Source organism: Homo sapiens, chromosome 5 (genome assembly GCF_000001405.40).
Source record: "Homo sapiens chromosome 5, GRCh38.p14 Primary Assembly".
Lineage (NCBI taxonomy): Eukaryota > Metazoa > Chordata > Mammalia > Primates > Hominidae > Homo > Homo sapiens.
Genome location: NC_000005.10, coordinates 8,074,785 through 8,101,883, shown reverse-complemented (window position 1 = coordinate 8,101,883; position 27,099 = coordinate 8,074,785). Strand labels below are relative to the sequence as shown.

Below are 27,099 nucleotides of genomic sequence, written 5' to 3'. Positions count from 1 at the left end.
TTATTACCTGAGTGATAAAATAATCTGAACACCAAACCCCCATGGCACACAATTTACCTATATAGCAAACCTGCATATGTACCCCTGAACCTAAAATGAAAGTTAAAGAAAAAAGATGACTCCGGAGTGAAATTCTGCATCTGGTGAAAATATCTTTCAAATATGAAGGTGAAAAAGCGATATTTTCAGACAAACAAAAACTATAAGAATTCAACATCAGTTATTCTACATTAATGATGAGTTACTGGGTGCAGCACACCAACATGGTACATATATACATATGTAACTAACCTGCACGTTGTGCACATGTACCCTAAAACTTAAAGTATAATTTAAAAAAACAAATATTAATTGGGTTGCTTAAGAACAACACAAAAATTTTAATGAAAAGTAAAGAATGGAGAACATTAACAGAATTGAATGAATGTGATTGCATTAAACACGAATCAGAACATCTTGAGGGGTTGAAAGTAAACACGAACTGAAAGACATGACAGCAATAGCAGAAAGGCAAGTGGGCGTAAGTGAAGGTAAAACCTTCTAAGAGGCTTGCATTGTCCCAGGAGCAGTAATGATGATAATTTATATGAAGCTTTAATGAGCCCTGGATATGTTATACTCTTTAGAATAGTGATTAATACAACAACCAGTGTTATTTTATGTATGTGGGGATGTCAGGTACAACCAGGGTACTGACATGGCACAGGCATTAGAGACATTACTTTCCCTTGTGCTTTACATTTTATTTTAAAAATTTTCAAATATTCAGCAAAGCTGAGATCATTTTTCATTGAATCCCCTTTCAGCCTAAGTTTCTGCCATTAACTTTGAACTGCACTTCTATACATGTGTCTATCCCTTGATCCATCTATCAAACAGTGTTTTATGCATTTCAAAGTAAATTACAGACATCAATATGCATCTTCCTAAATATTTCTGCATGCATGTCATTAGCTAGTTTTCAATGCACTTAACCCTTGAACTACATGGGTTTGAACTGAGTGGGTCCACTTACGGGTGAGTTTTTTTTTTTGTTTTTAACCAAATGCGTATTGAAAATACAAATATTCTCAGGAAGGGAACTCTTGTATACAGAGTGCCAGCTTTTCCTATATGCAGGTCCCACAGGGTCCCTTTAAGTATGTGTGAATTTTGGTGTAAGCAAGGATCCTAAAACCAATTTCCGCAGATACCGAGGGATGACTGGTATTTATTTACAGCTTTGTGTAAAGTTTACATTCAATGAAATGTGCAAATCTTAAGTGTATATTTGCTGAATTTTGACAAATGCCTGCATCTGGGGAAATGTTAATTTTATCTGAGAGAATATTGAGATACTGAAATTCATTACCAGTGCTATGGTTTATATTAAGTCACAGGGAATTGCACACAGATGTAACGAAAAGCCATCAGGGAAAGCTAGAATCTATATGTGAGGAAAATATAGCTAAAATTCAATAATTTAAATAGCCAGTAGTACTCATATTTTTCATCTGTTTCCCATTTAGAATAATAAGTGTAATAGCTTCTATTGTAACTAGAATTTCCTATAGAAGAGATAAAGTTCTTAATTTTATTTGTCTATCAATTACTCAATATGTTTACCCTGTACAAGTGTTACTAAAACTTAGGTTAATGAGACATGCTTTAAGGCTCTAAAGAAAGCCAACAATTTTAGATAAATTTAATTATATAAATCACAATTGCAATGTTGGCAAAATAAAACCATTGTCTACATATAGGCAATATATACATTATTCTAAAATATTTTCAACAACTCTCGGAATACTAATATTGTTAAAGAACTCAGTTAATTGAATTACACAATATAGGTTTATTCTTTGAGCACTCTACTTAATTTTGAAAGTATTCCTAATTAAAACAGACCCACAAAATACTCAATATATTTTCTCTTCAATAAGCAAGCACTTTAAAAGTTATTTATGTAACTTAAATGCATCCACTGCTAACTATAGCTGTCAGCAATAAGCAATACATCATTTTTTCATACATGCCAGTGAATAGATAACAAAGCACATGAGCCTCTTTAAATTAATTTGGTCTCCATATGTTGTCAAATCTTAGAGAAACAAAGACTTTATTTTACATTTTAAAAGTGATTTTCCTACATATAGGAAAAGCTGGCACTCTGGATACAAGAGTTCCCTTCCTGAGAATATTTGTATTTTCAATATGCATTTGGTTAAGAACAAAAATCACATTTTAAAAGTGATTTTGGTTAGGATAGAAGCAGTTTGTTATAAATGGTGTAATTTATTCCAAGTCGTGTCTCTCATCAAAGATATTTGTCATCAGTAAATATTTAAAAACAAACCAGCCAATAAACAGTTTCCACTTTCCTCTTGTAGAGGGGTAGAGATGTGGTTGGTTTTGACCCATTTAATCCTATTGTCCTCTCTGCATCTTTTCTGGATAAAAGAGCTGGATGCACCCAATTATAACTGGATAAGGGTGATCCAGAGAAAGAATGCAATTCACATGTGCATTACTACTCTAAGTGTTTAGGATTCTGCTGCCTGTTTCTTTATGCATATTTTAATCTATTTTACTGTCCAGTATCAAGATTTATAAAATGCATATTTTTAGGCCTGGTGCAGTGGCTCACGCCTGTAATCCCAGCACTTTGGGAGGCCTAGGTGGGCGAATCACAAGGTCAGGAGCTCAAGACCAGCCTGGCCAAAATGGTGAAACTCCATCTCTATTACAAGCACAAAAAATTAGCTGGGCATGGTGGCGGGCACCTGTAATCCCAGCTACCCAGGAAGCTGAGGCAGGAGAATCACTTGAACCCAGGAGGCAGAGGTTGCGGTGAGCTGAGATCATGCCACTGCACTCCAGCCTGAGCAACAAAGAACAAGACTCTCCCTCAAAAAAAAAAAAAACATAGTTTTAAATTCTGTGTAATAGTGTGTAATACTACATAATATTCTGTGTAATACTACGTCAGTACTGCAGTTATATTGTAATCCTATAATAGAAAGTGCTAACAACTCAATTAGCTGCCACTAGAGGTATTTTTGGGAATGCTAGGCCATTTTCTTTTTAATTTTATTATTATTATACTTTAAGTTTTATGGTACATGTGCACAACGTGCAGGTTTGTTACATATGTATACATGTGCCATGTTGATGCTAGGCCATTTTTAATTCTACTTTTAGATATATAAATAATATTTAATATTGTAGTAAGAAGAACAATATCTTAGGATAAATAATATGGCAATTTTCAACAAAGATAGCTTTTCCCTCCCAAAGCTGAGATTACACAACTCCCCCACAGTTTCCTGCTTAAAATGTAGAAACAGATAAAAATTGAAGGAATAACAAGCCCATGAGGCTTGTGGAAATGAGATTAAAGCTTAGTTTTTCATATTTCATGTCAATAGCCCTGAACAAGCAAAATGGCTCATATCAGGATCTTCATCCTAATCACCAAATTCAGAGTCATTAATCACAGATGAGAGTTGGAGAGAAGTTCTCTGGGTTTTCTCATGAAGTCACTTTAAATTTCATCCTGGGAGAATTAATAGTCTGTCTTATCAGCATCCCTGACCATGAGATCATCTAGAAGTGATGAAAAAAGATAAAGAAAAGCCAAGAATTGAAGACATAAGGAAGAAATGTGGGACCTCTTCTAGAAGCGGAAATGATGTAAATGTCTTTGATAAGAAAATGGTCTCTCACTCTGAAGTGGGGATAAGTCTTCCCCAGAGTAACTAGCTACTGTAACTAGTTTATTTCCAAGACTGCAATTTATTGTCCTGCGTTTTGTTTCCCTCATTTTTTTCCTGTACATTCTTTTCACTATTTAGAGTAGTTATTTTTGTCATTTCACTTTCTAACAATAGGTCAGCCAAAAAACAAAACAAAGCTCTCCTCCCCTCCCACCCTACCATGGCTGACATTGTTTCCCCAGCTGTGGGGATGCCTGAGTCCTCTGGGGCCTCCTTAACCTTCTCCAGCCTTTGGCACCCACATCTGGGTGCTTCTGTCATTTGCCTGGTCACGTCCACTCCACATGACATGGTTGCCACTCTTGGTGGCCACAGCTTCTATGTGAAAAGTGGGTGGACCCCGAACTGCTGGTGTTTTAACCTCGTAGGTACAATATTGCTCCCCGCCAGCCCTCCCAGCAGGCCTCCACTCACAATGTCAGGATCATTAATGAAGCTGTCCTTGAAACACTGACATCAAGCCACCCCACTCTCTGATGCCACCTACTTTCATCTGAGGCCATTTATTTTTCTTCTCTCACGTTCGGAATTCTCTGACCATAATGACATCTCCCCCAAAGTGACCTTTATACTCTCTCACTATCTTTCATGACCTTACTTCCTGACTCTCCCAGGCCAGATTCTCAGCACTTCTTAAAACGCTGATGAAGGTATAACACTGGCCCAATAAATTTTGCATCTCAAGAGAAATGTTTGAACCTATACTAGAGAAGCATAGGCCTTTGCAACTTGATTGCAGAGCAGAAGGATGCCAGCAGGTCAGTGTGACAGATGGAGATGTAGGTGACTAAGATGCCAAGTGTAGATGGGCACAGCTCATGGCCATCAGGCAATGCCCCAACACAGAGACATTGAAAATGAACCACACAGAGGACCCCATATTCCCTGGGTTGCTTTCGTATAGCGACTTAGTTGTAAATAAAGAAGGTATCAGTATGAGAGAGAGAGAAAGAGAACTCTTGCAAAACCCTCAAAAGGAAAGAAATGGCTTGAAAAAGAAAGTCTATATCATAGCAGGATTTAACTATATGGAATCCTGCCTTAGAAACTGTGGCAGATAAAACAAGTTGGATAGTGAGTCCTGTGTTCTAATATAAAAGTTTATTGTTACTTCAACTAAGCAATAACTGGCTATTTCAAATAACTATTTTCAAAAGTTTTGCAAACACTGTCTCCATAAAACATCTAGTAGAGCTTTCTTAAACCACCTTTCCCTGCAAACTCTCTTTCCCTGAATTATTTATCAAGGAGATAAACACACAAAACTCCCAGTATTATTTTTACAACACTCTTACACATTAAACTTTTTATTTCCAACAGAAAAATTGTTTGACTTTTAAGTATCACTCATGTTTACCCTTCTTTCTAATATCCTATAGAAAAAAAATTATAACATTGACATCAGTAGATCCCAGTTGTAAAGTTTTGATGGAACTGCCATGCTGTGAAGCTTTTCTTTTAAGTGTTACAAATACTTTTCATTTTCAACAAAATTCTGTCAGTTCAAAGAACAACAAGCACCCTTATACACCAGAGTTTACCTTGTACTGTTCAGGAAAACCACATGTAATATACTCTTGACCTCATTGATAGGTATTTTCTTATTTCCATAAAGAAACAGATTCTAACTGATCATTTTAAACGTAAGTAAGCAAGGAAGAAGTTCTCCAGGATGCACTGCTTTGTCTCCAGTTCCCCTTTAACTCAATTTTAAATTCAGACTTAGGAAAATTAAATGTATAGATGTGAGAGGAGTCTGCAAAGGTATATTTACACACTTGCTTAATCAAATTAAGATGGCATCCTACTTAAGTTGAAAACCCATTCAAATAAAAAAAGAGAACAGTATTTTTTTCTGGGTGAAGATCCAAAATAGTATGTTTAGTGTATACAAGAATAAATTGTATCAGTCTCAGTACATTAATATTATAAGGATTGTACACAGATTTAACATGAGATATAGTAAATTACCTTAGGAAGAGTCAGCAGTGGTTATTAATAGTAGCATAATGCTTTTCAGTTTATTTCCCACAAAATCATATTTACACTAAAAATTACACTTGTTTGAAGGGTTCATTGAGCTATAAAGAACCTTTAAAATAGTTTAATGAATAGTCTTAGGTTGGAGTAATGTGATGAGGATTTTTCATTCAAAGCTCATGGTATTTAAAGATTATGGCGCAAGTAAATAGAGAAGGTGAGATGAACTTCAATTAATTGTTGTCAGCTGGGATGTGCTTTTAGAGCTAAATACAAAATCCAAAAGTTTTTATGGAATCAAAAATTTAGGGCCGGATGTGGTGGTTCACGCCTGTGGTCCCAGCACTTTGGGAGGCTAAGGCGGGGGGATCACCTGAGGTCGGGAGTTCTAGACCAGCTTGGGCAACACAGAGACACCCCGTCTCTACTAAAAATACAAAATTAGCCAGGCATGGTGATGCATGCCTGTAATCCCAACTACTCGGGAGGCTGAGGCAGGAGAATCGCTTGAACCCTGGAGGCGGAGGTTGCAGTGAGCCGAGATCGCGCCATTGTACTCCAGCCTGGGCAACAAGAGCAAAACTCCGTCTCAAAAAAAAAAAAAAAAAAAAAAGTGGTATCTACAGTTTAGTGGAGAAATGAAGGCCGCCACCTAACGGGGCATATTTGTGATGCCAAAGGAAGACATTAGCAGTTATTTTGCTTTTTTTTTAAGCCAAGATATTCATTCAAGAATCAAAAGCTGAACTTTGGGAGGCCGAGGCGGGTGGATCATGAGGTCAGGAGATGGAGACCATCCTGGCTAACAAGGTGAAACCCCTTCTCTACTAAAAATACAAAAAATTAGCCGGGCGTGGTGGCGGGCGCCTGTAGTCCCAGCTACTCGGGAGGCTGAGGCAGGAGAATGGCGTGAACCCGGGAAGCGGAGCTTGCAGTGAGCCGAGATTGCGCCACTGCAGTCCGCAGTCCGGCCTGGGCGACAGAGCGAGACTCCATCTCAAAAAAAAAAAAAAAAAAAACAAGAGTCTGAAGCAGAATCTGTGGCCTCATGAAGATCACCCCTTCTTTTGCTCTCTGGAAAGCCACAGGTATCAACCACCCTCAGGAAGAGCAGAGGCCAGGGTTGCAGAGACCTTGTCCCATTGGCCATTCCCCAGCCCCAGATTGTGCACTTTCAACACAACCAGTGCTGGGAGCAGATCCTCCTCCTTCCTCTCTGGGCAACTCTGTGCTTTACAGGGGCTTCATGACTGGGCAGGCTCCCGGACAAAGGGTGGGGTGGTTGCCAAGCTCATACTCTCCCTGCTGGTCTAAGGAATCAGAGATCTTGCTATTGGGGTGGGACATTTTGTTTTATTCTTCATTATTCCCTCTCAATTTTCCCTTTCTTTTTGCCCTTGTTCCAAGCTCATCGTATACATGAGAAGTGGGCCACAAAAAATGAAGTGAAAAAAGAATCTTTTCTGGAATTCTGGTATTTAATATCTTATCCTCTGAGGGACATGGAAAGGATCCCGGGACAGATTCAAAATACGGGAGAAAACAGCATGTTAAACTGGAACTCAGGCTGGCTGGGGACAGGGAGGAGTGAAATAGAAGATATGATAAGAGAATGGTCCCTGGGGACCTAGGACCAGTCATTTAGTCAGGAAATGACAACTCAGAGAAGACATCATGCTCAGCAAAGGCAGACCTTGTTTCCTCCCAGCCTTAGGAGTAAGTGCCCACTGCTGAGCCCAGGGGATACACTAGACATATTTTCATGGTGTCTGGAGAGTTTCTTCTCAACAGAGCCCAGTATGATCCCAGTGCATGGACCTTCAAGAGTAGAACCCGAAACTTTGCTCAGATTCTATCCTGAGATTGGGTAATGACCCAAGATACTGGTGAGCTCCCTGAGAAGGAAGATGGCATACTACACAACAGGCTGCATGGTAGAGGTGCCTCATAGAGAACCTCCACTAGAGCAGTACAGAGGGAAAACATGGGGTTAGGGCCCCCACAGAAAGTCCCCATTGGGGCAATGCCTAGTGGAGCTGTGAGAAGAGGGCCACCATCCTCCAGACCCCAGAATGGTAGATTTGTTCAATTATTTAACATCAACTTTTCCCTCTTGGGCTTGAAGCTCTGTGAAGGGAATAACTGTTTTTCTTGTAATTCTCTGCACGCCAAATGCTAATGACAGGCCATAGAGGGAGTCCCCAGCAGCTTGCACCCTGCAGCTGGAAATGTCTCAGGCACTCAATGCCAGTTCACAAGAGCAGCCACTGAACCATGCAAAGCCACAAAAGTGGAGATGCCCAAGACCTTGGGGGCCCAACCTTCTCACCAGTGTGCGCTGGATGTGAGACATGGAGTCAAAGGAGATTATTTTGGAGCTTTAAGATCTATTGACTGCCCTGTTGGGTTGAAGACTTGCATGGGGTCTCTAGCCCCTTTCTTTTGGCCAATTTATCCCTTTGGGAACAGGAGTATTTACCCAATGCCTATACCTTCATTGTTTCTTGGAAGTAACTAACTTGTTTCTTATTTTGTAAGCTCAAAGGTGAAAGAGACTAGCCTTGTATCAAAAGAGACTTTGGATTTTGAGTTAGTACTGGAATGAGTTAAGACTTTGAGCACTGTTGGGAAAGGATGACTGTATTTTACGTTATGAGAAGAACATGAGATTTGAAGGGGCCAGCGCTGGAATAATATGGTTTGGATCTATGTCCTCACCCAAATCTTATGTTGAATTGAATTGTAATCTCCAGTGTTGGAGCTGGGGCCTAGTGGGAGGTGATGGGATTATGGAGGTGGAGTTCTCATGAATGGTTTAGCAATCTCCTTTGGGACTGTATAGAGATAAGAGTTCTCACAAGATTTGGTTGTTTAAAAGTGTGTAGCACCCCTATTCCCTCTGTCTCTCCCATCTGCTTCAGCCATGTAAGATGCCTGCTCCCACTTTGCCTTCCATAATGAGTAAATTCTCCCTGAGGCCTCCCCAGTAGCAGATGCTGCCATAGTTCCTGTACAGCCTGAGGAATTGTGAGTCAATTAAACCTTTTTTCTTATAAACTACACAGTCTCAGGTATTTCTTTATAGCAATGCAAGAATGGACTAATACAAGGTGCCAGATGTAAAGTTGGAAGCAAACCAGGATTTCCTATGTACCTGTGAACATTTTCAACTGGACTGTAGGGAGCCAGAATGCAGATATTTAACAGAGGGCTCCTCTTTTAAGAATCCAGCTATTACTTCCAACTTGTGCTTCACAGATTCTCATAGCTTATTTGGGCAAAGATTGATGTTCATTTTCTTCCACATCCATGAAACTATTTGAATTTCTATACCATTAGCATTAAAATTGTATAAGCCACTGAACAGGTAAATTGAAAAGAGAAAGAGAATTTCTCCAAAAAGTGATGAAATAGTAATTGTATTGGAGAACATATGAATTTTCAAGATGGTTCTTGAGAAATTTGTTCTCTGAGTATCAGGATATATAAGTTTACATCTTTTTGAGTTCTGAGCTAACTCAAGTGAAAAATATATTGAAAATATGTGGGATGCCCCACCCTCCTATTGTAATGAAAAATGTGTGCCTCATCCTATAGGAAAGCAACTACCTCCACTATATTCTAGAGGCTATTGTTCATACTCTGAAAAACATACACTATTCCTTTTGTATCCTTAATACCTCCCATTATCCTGATTCATTTTCTAATGGTTTATCCTGATAATCACAACCAAACTGCACAAAAGAACTGTCTGCACCATCTGCTTCCATTTCTGCAGTTTCTCCTCCATTTTCAATTCATTACAGTCTGGCTTCTGCACCTTCTCCCAGAATCCTTCTAATCGAGGCCACCTGTGACCATGTGTCATTAAACCCAGTGGACCTTTTCCCTTTGGCAACCTCACCTCCTTCCTGGATCCCGTGGCACCACACTTTTCTGGTTTCCCATCTGCCTTCTCCATCTTGTCATCAGTCCCCTTTGAATCTCTTCCTCAATGAACATGGTGTTTTTTGATGTTTTGGTAGTGGTCTTTCTCCTTCTGAACCTACATGTTCTCCTTGTCTAATCTTAGGCAACTCTTCAAGATCAATTGGTGAGCTCATGAGTGCAAAGATTTCTCTAATATCCAATTCCCATGTAGACCAAAATCCTTAGCGCCAAACATACTGTTCCTCCTCTCTTATGCGTCTTTAAACTCAAAGTGTTTAGCACTCACTTCATCATTTCCCTTTGTCACTGCTACCTCCATCCCCACCCCCACTAAGAATCTTAATTCTCTTCTGAACTTTCACCAACATCTTTCCATTTGCCCAACATAGAGGCCTAGACACAGCCTTTCATCACTGGGCTCTTGGGTTCTGCCACACTGTACAACTTCTTCACGAGACTTCCATGTAGATATGATGACGGTGGCACTCCTGGGGTGCTCGGTGTGCAACCAGCACAGCTATGTGGGGTGCACTGGTCTCCTCCTTCATCACCAACATTTGAACAGTCACCAAATATATTTAGCTTTGCTTCTAGAATATCTCTTGTATATATTCAATTTTTCTTCTATTCAACTTCTAGTAGAGCCTTGATTATCTTTTTCTTGGACTGTGGATCCAGCTCTCTGGCTTGTCTCCTGCCTCCTGTGTTACCCCTCCAGTGTTTGTAGTCAGAGTGGCATTTAGAAACAGGATTATGTTTTTTTAACTCTTGAATACCCCACCATCACCTTGTAGATGAACAAACCTCCTGGTTCTCAAGACCTCGAGATCTGGCCCCTCCTTCCTCATTTTCAACACTCTTCCTCCAGGGCCTGCACTTGCTGATGGCCTTCATTTGACTCAAGGGCACCAATGCTGTCTCTCACCTGCAGGCCTTTGCCACGTCCTCTACCCAGTACAACCTTCCCCTGCCCGTGTCCTTCACCCATGGTCAGGTCTCAACTTAAATATCCATTTATTAGGGACTCCTTCTCTGACCCCTTGACCATGCAGGCCTGCCCTGATTGCATTCCTTTGTGCTCTGGGCTTCCCCCATTGTAACACAATTGGGCTTTAAGGTGACTCCTGGTTTCATTGTCTCCCCGGAAATAGGGAACTCTTGTTTACTAGAATGTTCCCCCAATCCAACATAATACTTGGCACATGGTAGGTACCTAGAAAATTGCTGCTGTAGATTAAATATGTTCTATCAGTTCCTAGACTCTCAAACATGTGTGCCTGAAAAAAGCACAAAAATTTAAAACTCTTTATCTTGTGGAATACTATGATTTCTGAGACCCAAGTTAAATATTTAAATTGCTTCTTCTCATCTTGATTCTAAAAAGAATGAGTTTCTAAAGAGTAAATAAAAAATGAAAAGCCTCAAATTTTACAAAAGTTATATTTAACAACTTCTGAACTCAATTCTACACTAAAAATAAAGTTTTTGCTCAAGCAGAGAATTATGTGATAGCTTTTCTGAGGAAGATAAAGTGGTTCCTTTTTTTTTTTTTACTTAGAATTGCTTTTCATTGATGTCCTTGAGATTTCATTTCTATGTAGGGGAAGGAGGAAAGAGATTAACAAGAAAAAAGACTTGTCATTTACTAACTTGGTGAGTTTTAGCATATTTTTACTATAGAATATTTAATAGTCCAAAGACCTAACATTGTGGAGAAACATATGGTATATTGTCCTATGGTTTTATTGTTTTGTTTGGTTTGGTTCTATTATGCTTTTCCATCCCAGGGGAGTAGTTTATAATTTCGTATCATTTATTTTTCTCACTTTCCTTTATAAATTATGCCCAGAATCTATAAATGACCAAATATAAAATTGTATACTTGCTGACTACAAGTTCCAAGAGGTAAATATATCCCTACCTTAAAATGTAATGAACAAATCTTGAATGCAAATGCATTATTAGAAACTCTTGAAGATGGCCGAATAGGAACAGCTCCGGTCAACAGCTCCCAGCCTGAGCGACGCAGAAGACGGGTGATTTCTGCATTTCCATCTGAGGTACTGGGTTCATCTCACTAGGGAGTGCCAGACAGTGGGTGCAGGTCAGTGGGTGCGTGCACTGTGTGCGAGCCGAAGCAGGGTGAGGCATTGCCTCACTCGGGAAGCGCAAGGGGTCAGGCAGTTCCCTTTCCTAATCAAACAAAGGGGTGACGGACGGCACCTGGAAAATCGGGACGGCACCTGGAAAATCGGGTCACTCCCACCCGAATACTGTGCGTTTCCCAGGGGCTTAAAAAACGGCGCACCACGAGATTATATCCCGCACCTGGCTCGGAGGGTCCTACGCCCACGGAATCTCGCTGATTGCTAGCACAGCAGTCTGAGATCAAACTGCAAGGCGGCAGCGAGGCTGGGGGAGGCTCACCCGCCATTGCCCAGGCTTGCTTAGGTTAACAAAGCAGCCGGGAAGCTGGAACTGGGTGGAGCCCACAACAGCTCAAGGAGGCCTGCCTGCCTCTGTAGGCTCTACCTCTGGGGAGCCTACAAGACAAAAAGACAGCAGTAACCTCTGCAGACTTAAATGTCCCTGTCTGACAGCTTTGAAGAGAGCAGTGGTTCTCCCAGTACGCAGCTGGAGATCTGAGAACGGGCAGACTGCCTCCTCAAGTGGGTCCCTGACCCCTGAACCCCGAGCAGCCTAACTGGGAGGCACCCTCCAGCAGGGGCACACAGACACCTCACACTGCAGGGTACTCCAACAGACCTGCAGCTGAGGGTCCTCTCTGTTAGAAGGAAAACTAACAAACAGAAAGGACATCCACACCAAAAACCCATCTGTACATCACCATCATCAAAGACCACAAGTAGATAAAACCACAAAGATGGGGAAAAAACAGAACAGAAAAACTGGAAACTCTAAAAATCAGAGTGCCTCTCCTCCTCCAAAGGAACGCAGCTCCTCACCAGCAATGGAACAAAGCTGGATGGAGAATGACTTTGACGAGCTGAGAGAAGAAGGCTTCAGACGATCAAATTACTCTGAGCTACGGGAGGACATTCAAACCAAAGGCAAAGAAGTTGAAAACTTTGAAAAAAATTTAGAAGAATGTATAACTAGAATAACCAATACAGAGAAGTGCTTAAAGGAGCTGATGGAGCTGAAAACCAAGGCTCGAGAACTACGTGAAGAATGCAGAAGCCTCAGGAGCCGATGCGATCAACTGGAAGAAAGGGTATCAGCGATGGAAGACGAAATGAATGAAATGAAGCGAGAAGGAAAGTTTAGAGAAAAAGAATAAAAAGAAACGAGCAAAGCCTCCAAGAAATATGGGACTATATGAAAAGACCAAATTTACGTCTGATTAGTGTACCTGAAAGTGATGGGAAGAATGGAACCAAGTTGGAAAACACTCCGCAGGATATTATCCAGAAGAATTTCCCCAATCTAGCAAGGCAGGCCAACGTTCAGATTCAGGAAATACAGAGAACACCACAAAGATACTCCTCGAGAAGAGCAACTCCAAGACACATAATTGTGAGATTCACCAAAGTTGAAATGAAGGAAAAAATGTTAAGGGCAGCCAGAGAGAAAGGTCGGGTTACCCTCAAAGGGAAGCCCATCAGACTAACAGCGGATCTCTCGGCAGAAACCCTACAAGGCAGAAGAGAGTGGGGGCCAATATTCAACATTCTTAAAGAAAAGAATTTTCAACCCAGAATTTCATATCCAGCCAAACTAAGCTTCATAAGTGAAGGAGAAATAAAATACTTTACAGACAAGCAAATGCTGAGAGATTTTGTCACCACCAGGCCTGCCCTAAAAGAGCTCCTGAAGGAAGCACTAAACATGGAAAGGAACAACTGGTACCAGCCGCTGCAAAATCATGCCAAAATGTAAAGACCATCGAGACTAGGAAGAAACTGCATCAAATAATGAACAAAATAACCAGCTAACATCATAATGACAGGATCAAATTCACACATAACAATATTAACTTTAAATGTATATGGACTAAATGCTCCAATTAAAAGACATAGACTGGCAAATTGGATAAAGAGTCAAGACCCATCAGTGTGCTGTATTCAGGAAACCCATCTCACGTGCAGAGACACACACAGGCTCAAAATAAAAGGATGGAGGAAGATCTACCAAGCAAATGGAAAACAAAAAAAGGCAGGGGTTGCAATCCTAGTCTCTGATAAAACAGACTTTAAACCAACAAACATCAAAAGAGACAAAGGCCATTACATAATGGTAAAGGGATCAATTCAACAAGAAGAGCTAACTATCCTAAATATATATGCACCCAATACAGGAGCACTCAGATTCATAATGCAAGTCCTGAGTGACCTACAAAGAGACTTAGACTCCCACACATTAATAATGGGAGACTTTAACACCCCACTGTCAACATTAGACAGATCAACGAGACAGAAAGTCAACAAGGATACCCTGGAATTGAACTCAGCTCTGCACCAAGCGGACCTAATAGACATCTATAGAACTCTCCACCCCAAATCAACAGAATATACATTTTTTTCAGCACCACACCACACCTATTCCAAAATTGACCACATACTTGGAAGTAAAGCTCTCCTCAGCAAATGTAAAAGAACAGAAATTATAACAAACTATCTCTCAGACCACAGTGCAATCAAACTAGAACTCAGGATTAAGAAACTCACGCAATACCGCTCAACTACATGGAAACTGAACAACCTGCTCCTGAATGACTACTGGGTACATAATGAAATGAAGGCAGAAATAAAGATGTTCTTTGAAACCAATGAGAACAAAGATACAACATACCAGAATCTCTGGGACGCATTCAAAGCAGTGTGTAGAGGGAAATTTATAGCACTAAATGCCCACAAGAGAAAGCAGGAAAGATCCAAAATTGACACCCTAACATCACAATTAAAGGAACTAGAAAAGCAAGAGCAAACACATTCAAAAGCTAGCAGAAGGCAAGAAATAACTAAAATCAGAGCAGAACTGAAGGAAATAAGAGACACAAAAAACCCTTCAGAAAATTAATGAATCCAGGAGCTGGTTTTTTGAAAGGATCAACAAAATTGATAGACCAGTAGCAAGACTAATAAAGAAAAAAAGAGAGAAGAATCAAATAGACGCAATAAAAAATGATAAAGGGGATATCACCACCGATCCCACAGAAATACAAACTACCATCAGAGAATACTACAAACAACTCTATGCAAATCAACTAGAAAATCTAGAAGAAATGGATAAATTTCTGGACATACACACTCTCCCAAGACTAAACCAGGAAGAAGTTGAATCTCTGAATAGACCAATAACAGGATCTGAAATTGTGGCAGTAATCAATAGCTTACCAACCAAAAAGAGTCCAGGACCAGATGGATTCACAGCCGAATTCTACCAGAGGTACAAGGAGGAACTGGTGCCATTCCTTCTAAAACTATTCCAATCAACAGAAAAAGAGGGAATCCTCCCTAACTCATTTTATGAGGCCAGCATCATCCTGATACCAAAGCGGGGCAGAGACACAACCAAAAAAGAGAATTTTAGACCAATATCCTTGATGAACATTGATGCAAAAATCCTCAATAAAATACTGGCAAACCAAATCCAGCAGCACATCAAAAAGCTTATCCACCATGATCAAGTGGGCTTCATCCCGGGGATGCAAGGCTGGTTCAATATACGCAAATCAATAAATGTAATCCAGCATATAAACAGAGACAAAGACAAAAACCACATGATTATCTCAATAGATGCAGAAAAGGCCTTTGACAAAATTCAACAACCCTTCATGCTAAAAACTCTGAATAAATTAGGTATTGATGGGACGTATTTCAAAATAATAAGAGCTATCTATGACAAACCCACAGCCAATATCATACTGAAGGGGCAAAAACTGGAAGCATTCCCTTTGAAAACTGGCACAAGACAGGGATGCCCTCTCTCACCACTCCTATTCAACATAGTGTTGGAAGTTCTGGCCAGGGCAATTAGGCAGGAGAAGGAAATAAAGGGTATTCAATTAGGAAAAGAGGAAGTCAAATTGTCCCTGTTTGCAGACGACATGATTGTATATCTAGAAAACCCCATTGTCTCAGCCCAAAATCTCCTTAAGCTGATAAGCAACTTCAGCAAAGTCTCAGGATACAAAATCAATGTACAAAAATCACAAGCATTCTTATACAACAACAGACAAACAGAGAGCCAAATCATGAGTGAACCCCCATTCACAATTGCTTCAAAGAGAATAAAATACCTAGGAATCCAACTTACAAGGGATGTGAAGGACCTCTTCAAGGAGAACTACAAACCACTGCTCAATGAAATAAAAGAGGATACAAACAAATGGAAGAACATTCCATGCTCATGGGTAGGAAGAATCGATATCGTGAAAATGGCCATACTGCCCAAGGTAATTTACAGATTCAATGCCATCCCTATCAAGCTACCAATGACTTTCTTCACAGAATTGGAAAAAACTACTTTAAAGTTCATATGGAACCAAAAAAGAGCCCACATCGCCAAGTCAATCCTAAGCCAAAAGAACAAAGCTGGAGGCATCACACTACCTGACTTCAAACTATACTACAAGGCTACAGTAACAAAAACAGCATGGTACTGGTACCAAAACAGAGATATAGATCAATGGAACAGAACAGAGCCCTCAGAAATAACGCCGCATATCTACAACTATCTGATCTTTGACAAACCTGAGAAAAACAAGCAATGGGGAAAGGATTACCTATTTAATAAATGGTGCTGGGAAAACTGGCTAGCCATATGTAGAAAGCTGAAACTGGATCCCTTCCTTACACCTTATACAAAAATCAATTCAAGATGGATTAAAGACTTACATGTTAGACCTAAAACCATAAAAACCCTAGAAGAAAACCTAGGCATTACCATTCAGGACATACGCATGGGCAAGGACTTCATGTCTAAAACACCAAAAGCAATGGCAACAAAAGCCAAAATTGACAAATGGGATCTAATTAAACTAAAGAACTTCTGCACAGCAAAAGAAACTACCATCAGAGTGAACAGGCAACCTACAAAATGGGAGAAAATTTTTGCAACCTACTTGTCTGACAAAGGGCTAATATCTAGAATCTACAAAGAACTCAAACAAATTTACAAGAAAAAAGCAAACAACCCCATCAAAAAGTGGGCAAAGGACATGAACAGACACTTCTCAAAAGAAGACATTTATGCAGCCAAAAAACACATGAAAAAATGCTCACCATCACTGGCCATCAGAGAAATGCAAATCAAAACCACAATGAGATACCATCTCACACCAGTTAGAATGGCAATCATTAAAAAGTCAGGAAACAACAGGTGCTGGAGAGGATGCGGAGAAATAGGAACACTTTTACACTGTTGGTGGGACTGTAAACTAGTTCAACCATTGTGGAAGTCAGTGTGGCGATTCCTCAGGGATCTAGAACTAGAAATACCATTTGACCCAACCATCCCATTACTGGGTATATACCCAAAGGACTATAAATCATGCTGCTATAAAGACACATGCACACGTATGTTTATTGCGGCATTATTCACGATAGCAAAGACTTGGAACCAACCCAATGTCCAACAATGATAGACTGGATTAAGAAAATGTGGCACATATACACCATGGAATACTATGCAGCCATAAAAAATGATGAGTTCATGTCCTTTGTAGGGACATGGATGAAATTGGAAATCATCATTCTCAGTAAACTATCGCAAGAACAAAAAACCAGACACTGCATATTCTCACTCATAGGTGGGAATTGAACAATGAGAACACATGGACACAGGAAGGGGAATATCACACTCTGGGGACTGTTGTGGGGTGGGGGGAGGGTGGAGGGATAGCTTTAGGAGATATACCTAATGCTAGATGACGAGTTAGTGGGTGCAGCGCACCAGCATGGCACATGTATACATATGTAACTAACCTGCACATTGTGCACATGTACCCTAAAACTTAAAGTATAATAATAATAAATAAATAAATTTAAAAAAAAAAGAAAAGAAGTCTGGACGTAGCCAAGGAACAGGCGCAGATGGGATTAATGCATGGGAGACACATGATGGGAAGACAGATGGCGCCCATCCTATGGGTCTCTAGCAGCAATATGGGGTGGGATGGAGACCAGGTAATCAAGTGTGCCAAGAAGAGCAAATGCAGTGTCCATGGTGACAGGGAAGGACAAAGGACCTGAAAAATGACTTAGGAGGCAGCCTAATCATAGTTTGGGACTAACTGGATGTGGGGATAGAGGAGGAGGGGATTAGGCGGGAGGTTGCCAGTGTCTGATCTTGGCAGACTATGCATCTGGATGGAGAGATGGTGACTCAGTCAAGAGAAACAGACTCGTGGAGTTTCTAGAAAGGGAGAGTTTCTGGCACCCACCACATATCTTGAAGGACCAAGAGTGTTGGATGTGTAAATTAATAATTAAATTCTAAGCCCTCCACTGACTGAATAGAACCTTTGTGGCCAAGAGGACCCCAGAAAAACCTTGAAGCTGAGTTCCCGGCCATGACGGGATGGGAGGTCAGACAGGCCTCATTATGCCCCCTCCCTTTTGGAGTTGAGACACAACTGAACAGCATTTATGTTACAAGAAAGATCCTAAAACTGACAGAACAGATTCTTTGTGACAATAAGACACCAAATTATAAACAGAACCTGAGGCCATACCAGGAAAGGGTGAAGTCATGCACCCTTCCTTTAAAGAATGAAATATGTTCTAATCGCCAAGAGGTTTCTCTTTTTCTCTAGAAGTTAAACAAGCACTGGCCTCGAGATGGGCAATATGAAAAAACTCTGAGGACCCACCAGATGCTGACTAACTCACCCGCTGCTCCAGCAGAGGTAACTACAGCTTTGATTGAACAAGAGAATGATTTCAGTAACTTTCTCCTGAATAGAAGACCACAGAGCATGGACTGGTTCTGCCTGCTTTACAGATTGTGCACTTTTGTGCCTTTGTGTTCTGAGAAGACCTTTTGACAAATAGGCCTAATTGCAATACATTTAAATGTTAAGCCTCCATCCCAAAGTGAACATGGGTTATATGTTCCATGCACGTTGGTTTAATACACATCCTTCATGACGACCTTCACAAATATTCATAGCTCCTCCTGTAACCTGCCCTAGATGTAGGTTTAGCCAACTCATTGAGCAAAACAAATCTCCTACCCTAATTCCTCCTCCTTTAAACTACCTATCTCTGTGCTTCAACTAGAGGCTGTGCTTCCCAGCCTGCAGGACGGCCACCTTGCAGGCTGCAACTCTAAAACAAATTTATAGATTGTCTTGTTTCTTTTTTTTTTTTTCCTTTTCTTTCTTTCTTTTTTTTTTTTTTTGAGATGGAGTCTCGCTCTGTGGCCCAGGCTGGAGTGGAGTGCAGTGGCGAGATCTCGGCTCACTGCAAGCTCCGCCTCTCGGGTTCATGCCATCCTCCTGCCTCAGCCTCCCGAGTAGCTGGGACTACAGGCGCTCACCACCACGCCTGGCTAGTTTTTCATATTTTTAGTAGAAGTGGGGTTTCACCATGTTAGTCAGGATGATCTCGATCTCCTGACCTCGTGATCCGCCCGCCACGGCCTCCCAAAGTGCTGGGATTACAGGCGTGAGGCATTGTACCCGGCCAATTGTCTTGTGGTTTTTTAAATTAACAGATGTAATAGGCAAAGCCCAGGGGAGAGGCCTGGGCTGAAACTTGGGGTGAGGGTGCCCTGAGCTGAAGGTGAGACATGACATGGACCAGGAAAACAGCCAGATTTCAGAGTGGAAAACTGTGAGCACCAGTGGAGGCCTGCGAAAGCTACTTCTCTCTCAATATTGTAGAGACGAGTTATTTTATATTCAAAGAGTACAGCCAGAGTGTTTTTGAATCATGACAATAAAGGATTCCAGCTAGCCAGGCTTTCCTGAGAAGTTTTAGTCATTATCATCATTGTTTCTAGATGAGCGGAAAATAAGGGTAGGTTCGTGCTTGGGGTTGAAGAAGAGAAAAATTCTTAACAAAAAGGATTTAATTTCTGAAAAATGAAGAAAGTGATGCCATTTTTATTTTGATTCATTAAAAACAATATGTGGATAAATGACTTTTCAAATCATTGTCTTTAAACATTTGAGCAAGTGCAGAAAAAAAACAAAACGTCACAATTTATGAAAGGCAAAACTTAAAAAATAAAGCTGAAGCCAAGCATACATCCAAAAGAAGTGTTAGTTCCTGGGCTTCTCTAGTCATAGGCCGATAGGAACAGTAGCCATACTCAGGAGGGCTTCAACACAGGCCCACCTCCTTACATCTTCCATCAAAGGAGCAACTGTCCCTGCAAACACACCTTGTAAGTCACAGTCCTCTGAATCATCTACCTCTCTGCCAGCTCAATCACGGAAGAAAGCAGAAAGATTAGGGCACTACATCCCTCCAGGAGGCCACTAGAAACAGGCACTGCGCTTTTGGTGGAACCACAAGCTCAGGTGCCACTTAATCTGCTGCCCTGGGTCCCAGCCCCTCCACCGGTCTCTCTGTGTGGAGGCCCCACCGTGCTGCCTGAAGCCAGGCTGCCTGCCATGGATTGAACTCCCAGCTGCCCCAGGGGGCCCCCTGTGCTCCACTCCCCTGCCCTCGCTACCTGTAATCCCTCTGCCTTCCTTGCCCCAAGTCATTATCCCCTCTTTAAGTGGCACAGAATAATCAATCTTAGCTGAAGCTATTATCTCAGTGTCGTGTCTGACCATCCACTGTTTTTTTGTGTGTGTGTTGGAAATTAGAGAGCTGCTTTGCATACACCTGCAGTGTGACGGCTGTTTAGAAGAACACCAGTACCCTGGTCATCTGAGCCTGCCTAACTCCTCTGGCCCCACCTGCCAGCCCCATGCCCTCCCCTGCACACTCTGTGCACTCTGCTCCCTTGGCCTGGAATTCCTTCCTCCCACTTCTCCACTTTCTATCTCGGGGCAACCCTCTCCAGCAAAGTGGGGCCACGGACCCAGCCTGGGATGCATGCTCTTTCCTGTGCTCCTGCATAATATCTCTGTATAATAATAAGCCATGAAATAAACAAATTGAGAGAACAGAATGGGAAGAGATGCCTCTGTGGGACTAATTATGGAAAACACAGTGACTCTCTGTCAGTGCTGGAATAACGGTAGAAAAACAAGACAGGCACCCCCAGTGAAGCAAATTAGGTCCCCTACTACCCCCCTGTGGAGCTGAAGGAGAAAGTTTTCTGCAGGAGCCCGCAGGGTGCAGAGCCCATGGTGCCTGGAAGCCTGACAGACCCAGGGCACAAGGAGGAACCGATTGACCCAGCAGAGCACACAATTTGGAGACAAAAAGCAAAGTTGGAGACTTAGGTTTTCGGTTCCATGACAGTGGGGACAATGCAGGCTGAATCCCCAGAACCCTGGGGTCTGTATGTGTCTCTGGTCTCTGCACTCAGGGTGGGATGTGGGGCTGCAGATGCTTTCTCCTTCCAAGGCTCTTGATCCAAAACTATAAGGTCCCCAGAGTGTTGAGATGCACAAGATGCAGGTGTAAACCCACTCTTGTGTCTGACTCCTGAGGACCGGAGCTTCCAGTGGGGCCTGGGACTGCATGCCAATTCCCCGAACTCAGGGCCATGTCAAGTACATGGTGGGTATCGCTAGAGGTGTGGTGAATGAGCAAATACATGAGCAAAAGGAAGAATGATGAATGATGCTCATCACACCCTCGGGTGAGGTGGTGCCTGCAATGCTAGACAGAGGTGCCTGGACGAGGATGCTGGCAGGGCCGGTGTTTGAAGCTGATAATGTTAAACCTCTCTGCCCAGGTGCCAGCTTGGTGACCTCAGGCAAACTGAAAGAAAGTCTGGAAGAGTTTAACTAAGGGACGAATATCTACACCATGAGGTGTGGTAAGCACCACTCGGAGGGTGTCTTTCAATCCAGGGGAGGATGTAACCAACCATTCTCTACAGCCTGCTTGGGTGAATGTGCCCCAGGGCGAGTCACTTGTGGAAGGGCTGCTGTATGTGCTAAGGTAAACTCTGCACTCAATATCCACAGCAATACAGCAACACAGAATATCCACAACAATACCACAATACAGAATATCCACAGTAATATAGAATAAGCACAGAAATACAACAATACAGAATATCCACAGCAATACAGAATATCCACAGCAAAACAGAATATCCACAGCAAAACAACAATACAGAATATCCACAGCAATACAGAATATCCACAGCAATACAGAATATCCACAGCAAAACAACAATACAGAATACCCACAGCAATACAGAATATCCACAGCAAAACAACAATACAGAATATCCACAACAATACAGAATATCCACAGCAATATAGAATACCCACAGCAATACAGAATATCCACAGCAAAACAACAATACAGAATACCCACAGCAATACAGAATATCCACAACAATACAGAATATCCACAGCAATACAGAATATCCACAGCAATACAGAATATCCACAGCAAAACAACAATACAGAATATCCACAGCAATACAGAATATCCACAGCAATACAGAATATCCACAGCAATACAGAATACCCACAGCAATACAGAATATCCACAGCAATACAGAATACCCACAGCAATACGACAATGCAGAATATCCACAGCAATGCAGAATATGCACAGCAAAACAACAATACAGAATATCCACAACAATACAGAATATCCACAGCAATACAGAATACCCACAGCAATACAGAATATCCACAGCAAAACAACAATACAGAATATCCACAGCAATACAGAATACCCACAGCAATACAGAATACCCACAGCAACACGACAACGCAGAATATCCACAGCAATGCAGAATATGCACAGCAAAACAACAATACAGAATATCCACAGCAATACAGGAACAAGTCTAACTTGGCTCATCCTCTTCGGAGTATTTATCTTATTACCATGACAACTTACTTCATAATTTTGTTGCCAAACACATGACTAAAAAAATAGGACAGGGACTTTACTTAGTAAAATTGAAAATAAATCCTCAAAAGTACAAAGTAAATAATAATCCAGTATCCAAAAGCATTAAAAATGTAACTTAAAAAGTTAATTTAGTGGTGAATAGATTTTTAAATTCCTAATATTGTTAAAGCCTTTACAAATATCGAAGATATAAGTTCTCAAAAAATACAAAATCAAAGGTTAACATTAAACAATATTTGCTTGCTCAAACGATATTTTCTGGGCTTTGGAATACACCCATGCTTTATTTTACTTTCAAAGGATTTTTTGAAGTCTTGCTCTTTGTAAAACAATAGAACCATCCAGAACTGAAGTAAAAACAGAAATTGCTCCTTCACTCTCTCCACCTCACACAGCTAGTGTTTTGCCTTCTCTTCCCCCAGAGCAACCACTCTTAACAGCAGGCATATATTCATACGAATAGATAGTCTATATATATATATACAAAAAAATAAATGTCATATATCTTATTTTATAACAATAAAATCACTTTACAGTCATAGTAATGCATAAGACTGCATTCAGCTATATCTCATTCCCTTTAATGTCTGTGTGGTACAACATAATGTGGATATACTTAAATTCTTAACCATCCTCTTATTGACCAATATGCAGGTTGTTTTCAATTTATCATTAATACAAAGAAGGTTGCAAAGGACGTTTTGTACATATGCCTTTAGGGCACATGGCGTGATGGATAACAAAAGTAAAAGTGCTGTTCACATGATATGCACACTCGATATTTGATAGGCATTACTGCATTGTTCTTTAAATGGTCCATGAAATGCTATTCACAAATGTAAGTTCCCATTTCTTCACTGCTTTGTCTTCATATTATCAGTTTATTTTTTGCCAAGGTGATTGATATCTATATATATATGCATATATAATATATAAATACTACATATATTATTGATTTTATAATTTGCATCCCTGATTACTGTGAGATAAGGCATTGTTTTATAAATATATTAACATTTTGTTGATGTGCTTATTTTTACTTTGCACACTTTTCTATGTGGTCATGTATCTACTTTGTTGAATATAAGGGGTTAATCATTCATTATGGACCTTCATCTTTCCCTGTATCCATTATACCAAACCCATTCTTGTAGTTATATCTTTGTGGGTTTTCTCACATTATATCTTTGAATTCTAAAAGTTGAGTGTTATACATTCAAATTGGATTATCAATTTCTCCTAGTATGCCATGCCACATACTTTTTGTTTGAAGTATTTAGGAACTCTATTGGTAGTGATAGAATGAATTATCTGTGTTCTTCGTGGACTGTAATTTTCACCTCCATTTGTCCCATTTAATATTTTTCAGCTGGAGTTTTGATTTTACAACTGCCAGGCTATCTTTGTATTAACCTATTCCTGATAGATTTTTTTTACCATGCGTTTACTTTTTACAAAGGAGAGTTATTGAAAGTATAGTCTCTGGAGTCAAACTCATGGGTCAGTAATTGTGCTTAGTTCATAATGTCATTTTGAGGATTAAATGAGGTGATCTATATAAAAAGATTAGTCGACTGCTTCTAACATACTCAGCATATATTGTGTCATTGTATTTTTGGTATATGTCCTTGTAAGTGGCTTTTAGCTGCGTTTTTATTTTGTCCAAAACTGGCAACAAATCTATCCCATTCAAATTCATTGTAAAAAATAACATTTAGCCTTTTCTAGTCTTCCATTTGACTCACATTTAGGGAAAAACCATTTAAACACACTTTTTAATTAACATCAATAATTAAACTTTGTGTGCAGCCTCTCTAACTTGAACAAGACAAATCCATCACATGTTCATGTTTGTTAATTTCTTATTTCTCATATGTTTTAAACAATCACTTAGAGCATTTGCCTATGATTTCTTCTAGTAATAAATGTCTATGAATGGATGAATGGATAAAGAAAATGTGGTATATATACACAGCAAAATATTATTTAGCCCTAAAATAAGAATGAGATCCTGTCATTTACAGCAACATGGATGAACCTGGAGGAGAGTATGTTAAGTGAAATAAGCCAGGCACAGAAAGACAAATACTGCATGATCTCTCTATTTATGGAAACTAAAAAATATAATCTCATAGAAGTAGAGAGTAGAAAAATAGTTTCTAGAGGCTGGGGGCCGGGGCAGGGGGTAGGTAGGGAGAGATTGGTCAATGTGTATAAAGTTACAGTTACATAGGAGAAATAAGCTCTGGTATTCTATTGCACAGTAGTAGGGTGACTGGTTAACAATAATTTATCACATATTTCAAAATATCTAGAAGAGAGGATTTTGAATGTTTCCAACACAAAGAAATGATAAATGTATGAGGTAATGAATATCTCAATTACCCTGATTTGATCACTGTGCATTGTATGCATATAATATATTGAAATATCACATGGACACCAAAAATATGTAAAATTATGTGTCAAATTTAAAATCACCTAGAATTTTAATTATAAATTATTTTCACAGTACACTTCTGCATTCTTGGGAATTGTTTCTTATCAACTGGAGTTTACACTGTGGCTACATTATCCACAATTTTGTAAATTGTGTAGGTATAAATACTTTTTTAAATTCACCACCCATTTTGAATACTGTGTTCAAACCTAAATTCTGTTATTTTCATCTCTATACTATTATTGGCCTTAGTTTGCTCTTCTTTTTCTAGCTTTTTAAGGTTAAAACTTGATTTATTATTCTGAAACCTTTCCTTTTTCTAGCTTTTTAAGGTTAAACTTGATTTATTATTCTGAAAGCTTTCCTTTCTAATATAAGCATTTAAAGTGATAGCACTCCTCTAAGATTTGTTTAACTGCATTTCACAAATTTGTATGTTTGTCTATACTGGGGGTGGCAAATTTTTCTGTCAAGAACCAGACATTAAATATTATAGGTTTTTTAGGCCAAGAGTCAAAATTTTAAAAATTCTATAAGTACTAACAAGAGAAAAAATTTCACAAGCATTTATTGATACAATATAAAATAATACAAGAATAATTGAGCAAATTATTTTGTAGGTTCACTGATGAAAAGAATGAAATTTTGATTTGGGGAATAATCTTTCTCTTTGGGGGATTCTAAGTGATATGTCATTATAAATGAAAACAAGAGCTTGATATTAGTTTGCTGTGTTGTGCAAAGGTGAGAGAAGTCAATTTAAAATTGTAAGGATTGTGGCTAGGATTCAGGATGGGAAATGGAGAGAAGGAAGCAAGTGCACAGATGCCATACAGCCTAGATGCTTCTCCCATACTGTCACTCATTCATTCAACAAATGGCTATTGAGGCCCAAGCATGTTCCAAGCACTCTTCTAGGAACCTAGGACAAGCCAGTATCCTGTAGAAAAAAACAGCAAAGATACCTCTCCTCATGGTACTCACATTTTGCAAAGTGATGTAAGGAAATGCATGGGTCAAGATATAACAGTCAGTCGGTTTCATGCTCTTGCATATGGCTAGGGAGTTATCCTAGCACCATTCATTGAATAGGGAGCCCTTTCTTCATTGCTTATTTCTGTCAACTTTGTCAAAGATCAGATGGCTCATTTCTGGGTTTTCTATCCTGTTCCATTGGTCTATGTGTTTATTTTTGTACCAGTATCATACTGTTTTGGTTACTTATAGTTTGAAGTAAAGTAACATGAGGCCTCCAGCTTTGTTATTGATGCTTTCAATTGCTTTCTCTGTTCAGGCTCTTTTTCAGTTCCATATGAATTTTATAATTTTTTTTATCTAAATCTGTAAAAAATGATGGTGGTGGTTTGGTAGGAATAGTGTTGAATCTGTAGATTGCTTTGGGCAGTATGGCCATTTTAACAATATTGTTCTTCCTATTCATGAGTATCAATGTTTTTCCATTTGTGTCATCTCTGATTTCTTTGAGCAGTGGTTTGTAGTTCTCCTTGTAGAGATCTTTCACCTCCTTGGTTAGCTATAGTCCTAGGTATTTTATTTTCTTTGTGGCTGTTGTAAATGGGATTATGTTCTTGTTTTGGCTCTCAACTTGAATATTATTGGTGTATAGAAATGCTACTGATTTTTGTACACCGATTTTATATTCTGAAACTTTACTGAAGTTGTTTACCAGTTCCAGGAGGAGCCTTTTGGCAGAGTCTTTAGGGTTTTCCAGGTATAGAATCATATTTTCAGTGAAGGGAAATAGTGTACATTATATTGAATTAAACTAGCTCACTTGTAATAGTCTCAGATTTAGAAATACAGAAAAATTTTTGTAAATAAGTGAAAGTTTGAAATGTGCATATAAATTGTAGCTACAATTACTGTAGAAGATAACTAAAATAATTCATTGCAGTTCATCCTTAAGCATATTTTACATGAACATAGACATTTCAGGAAAGCTTATCAGGGGATCATTGAGGTATTTTTATAAAATTAAAAATTAATTTCTTATACATTA

The 27,099-nt window shown here is 39.8% G+C and overlaps 1 annotated feature.

Annotated features, from left to right (window-relative positions):
- Positions 10,521-11,720: an enhancer, noted in NCBI's record as "BRD4-independent group 4 enhancer chr5:8090277-8091476 (GRCh37/hg19 assembly coordinates)". NCBI's record gives its function as "activates an origin of replication core promoter dependent on BRD2, P300/CBP, MED14 and CDK7 cofactors, and independent of BRD4, by STARR-seq in HCT116 cells {active_cell/tissue: HCT116}" and the evidence as "EXISTENCE:reporter gene assay evidence [ECO:0000049][PMID:35650434]".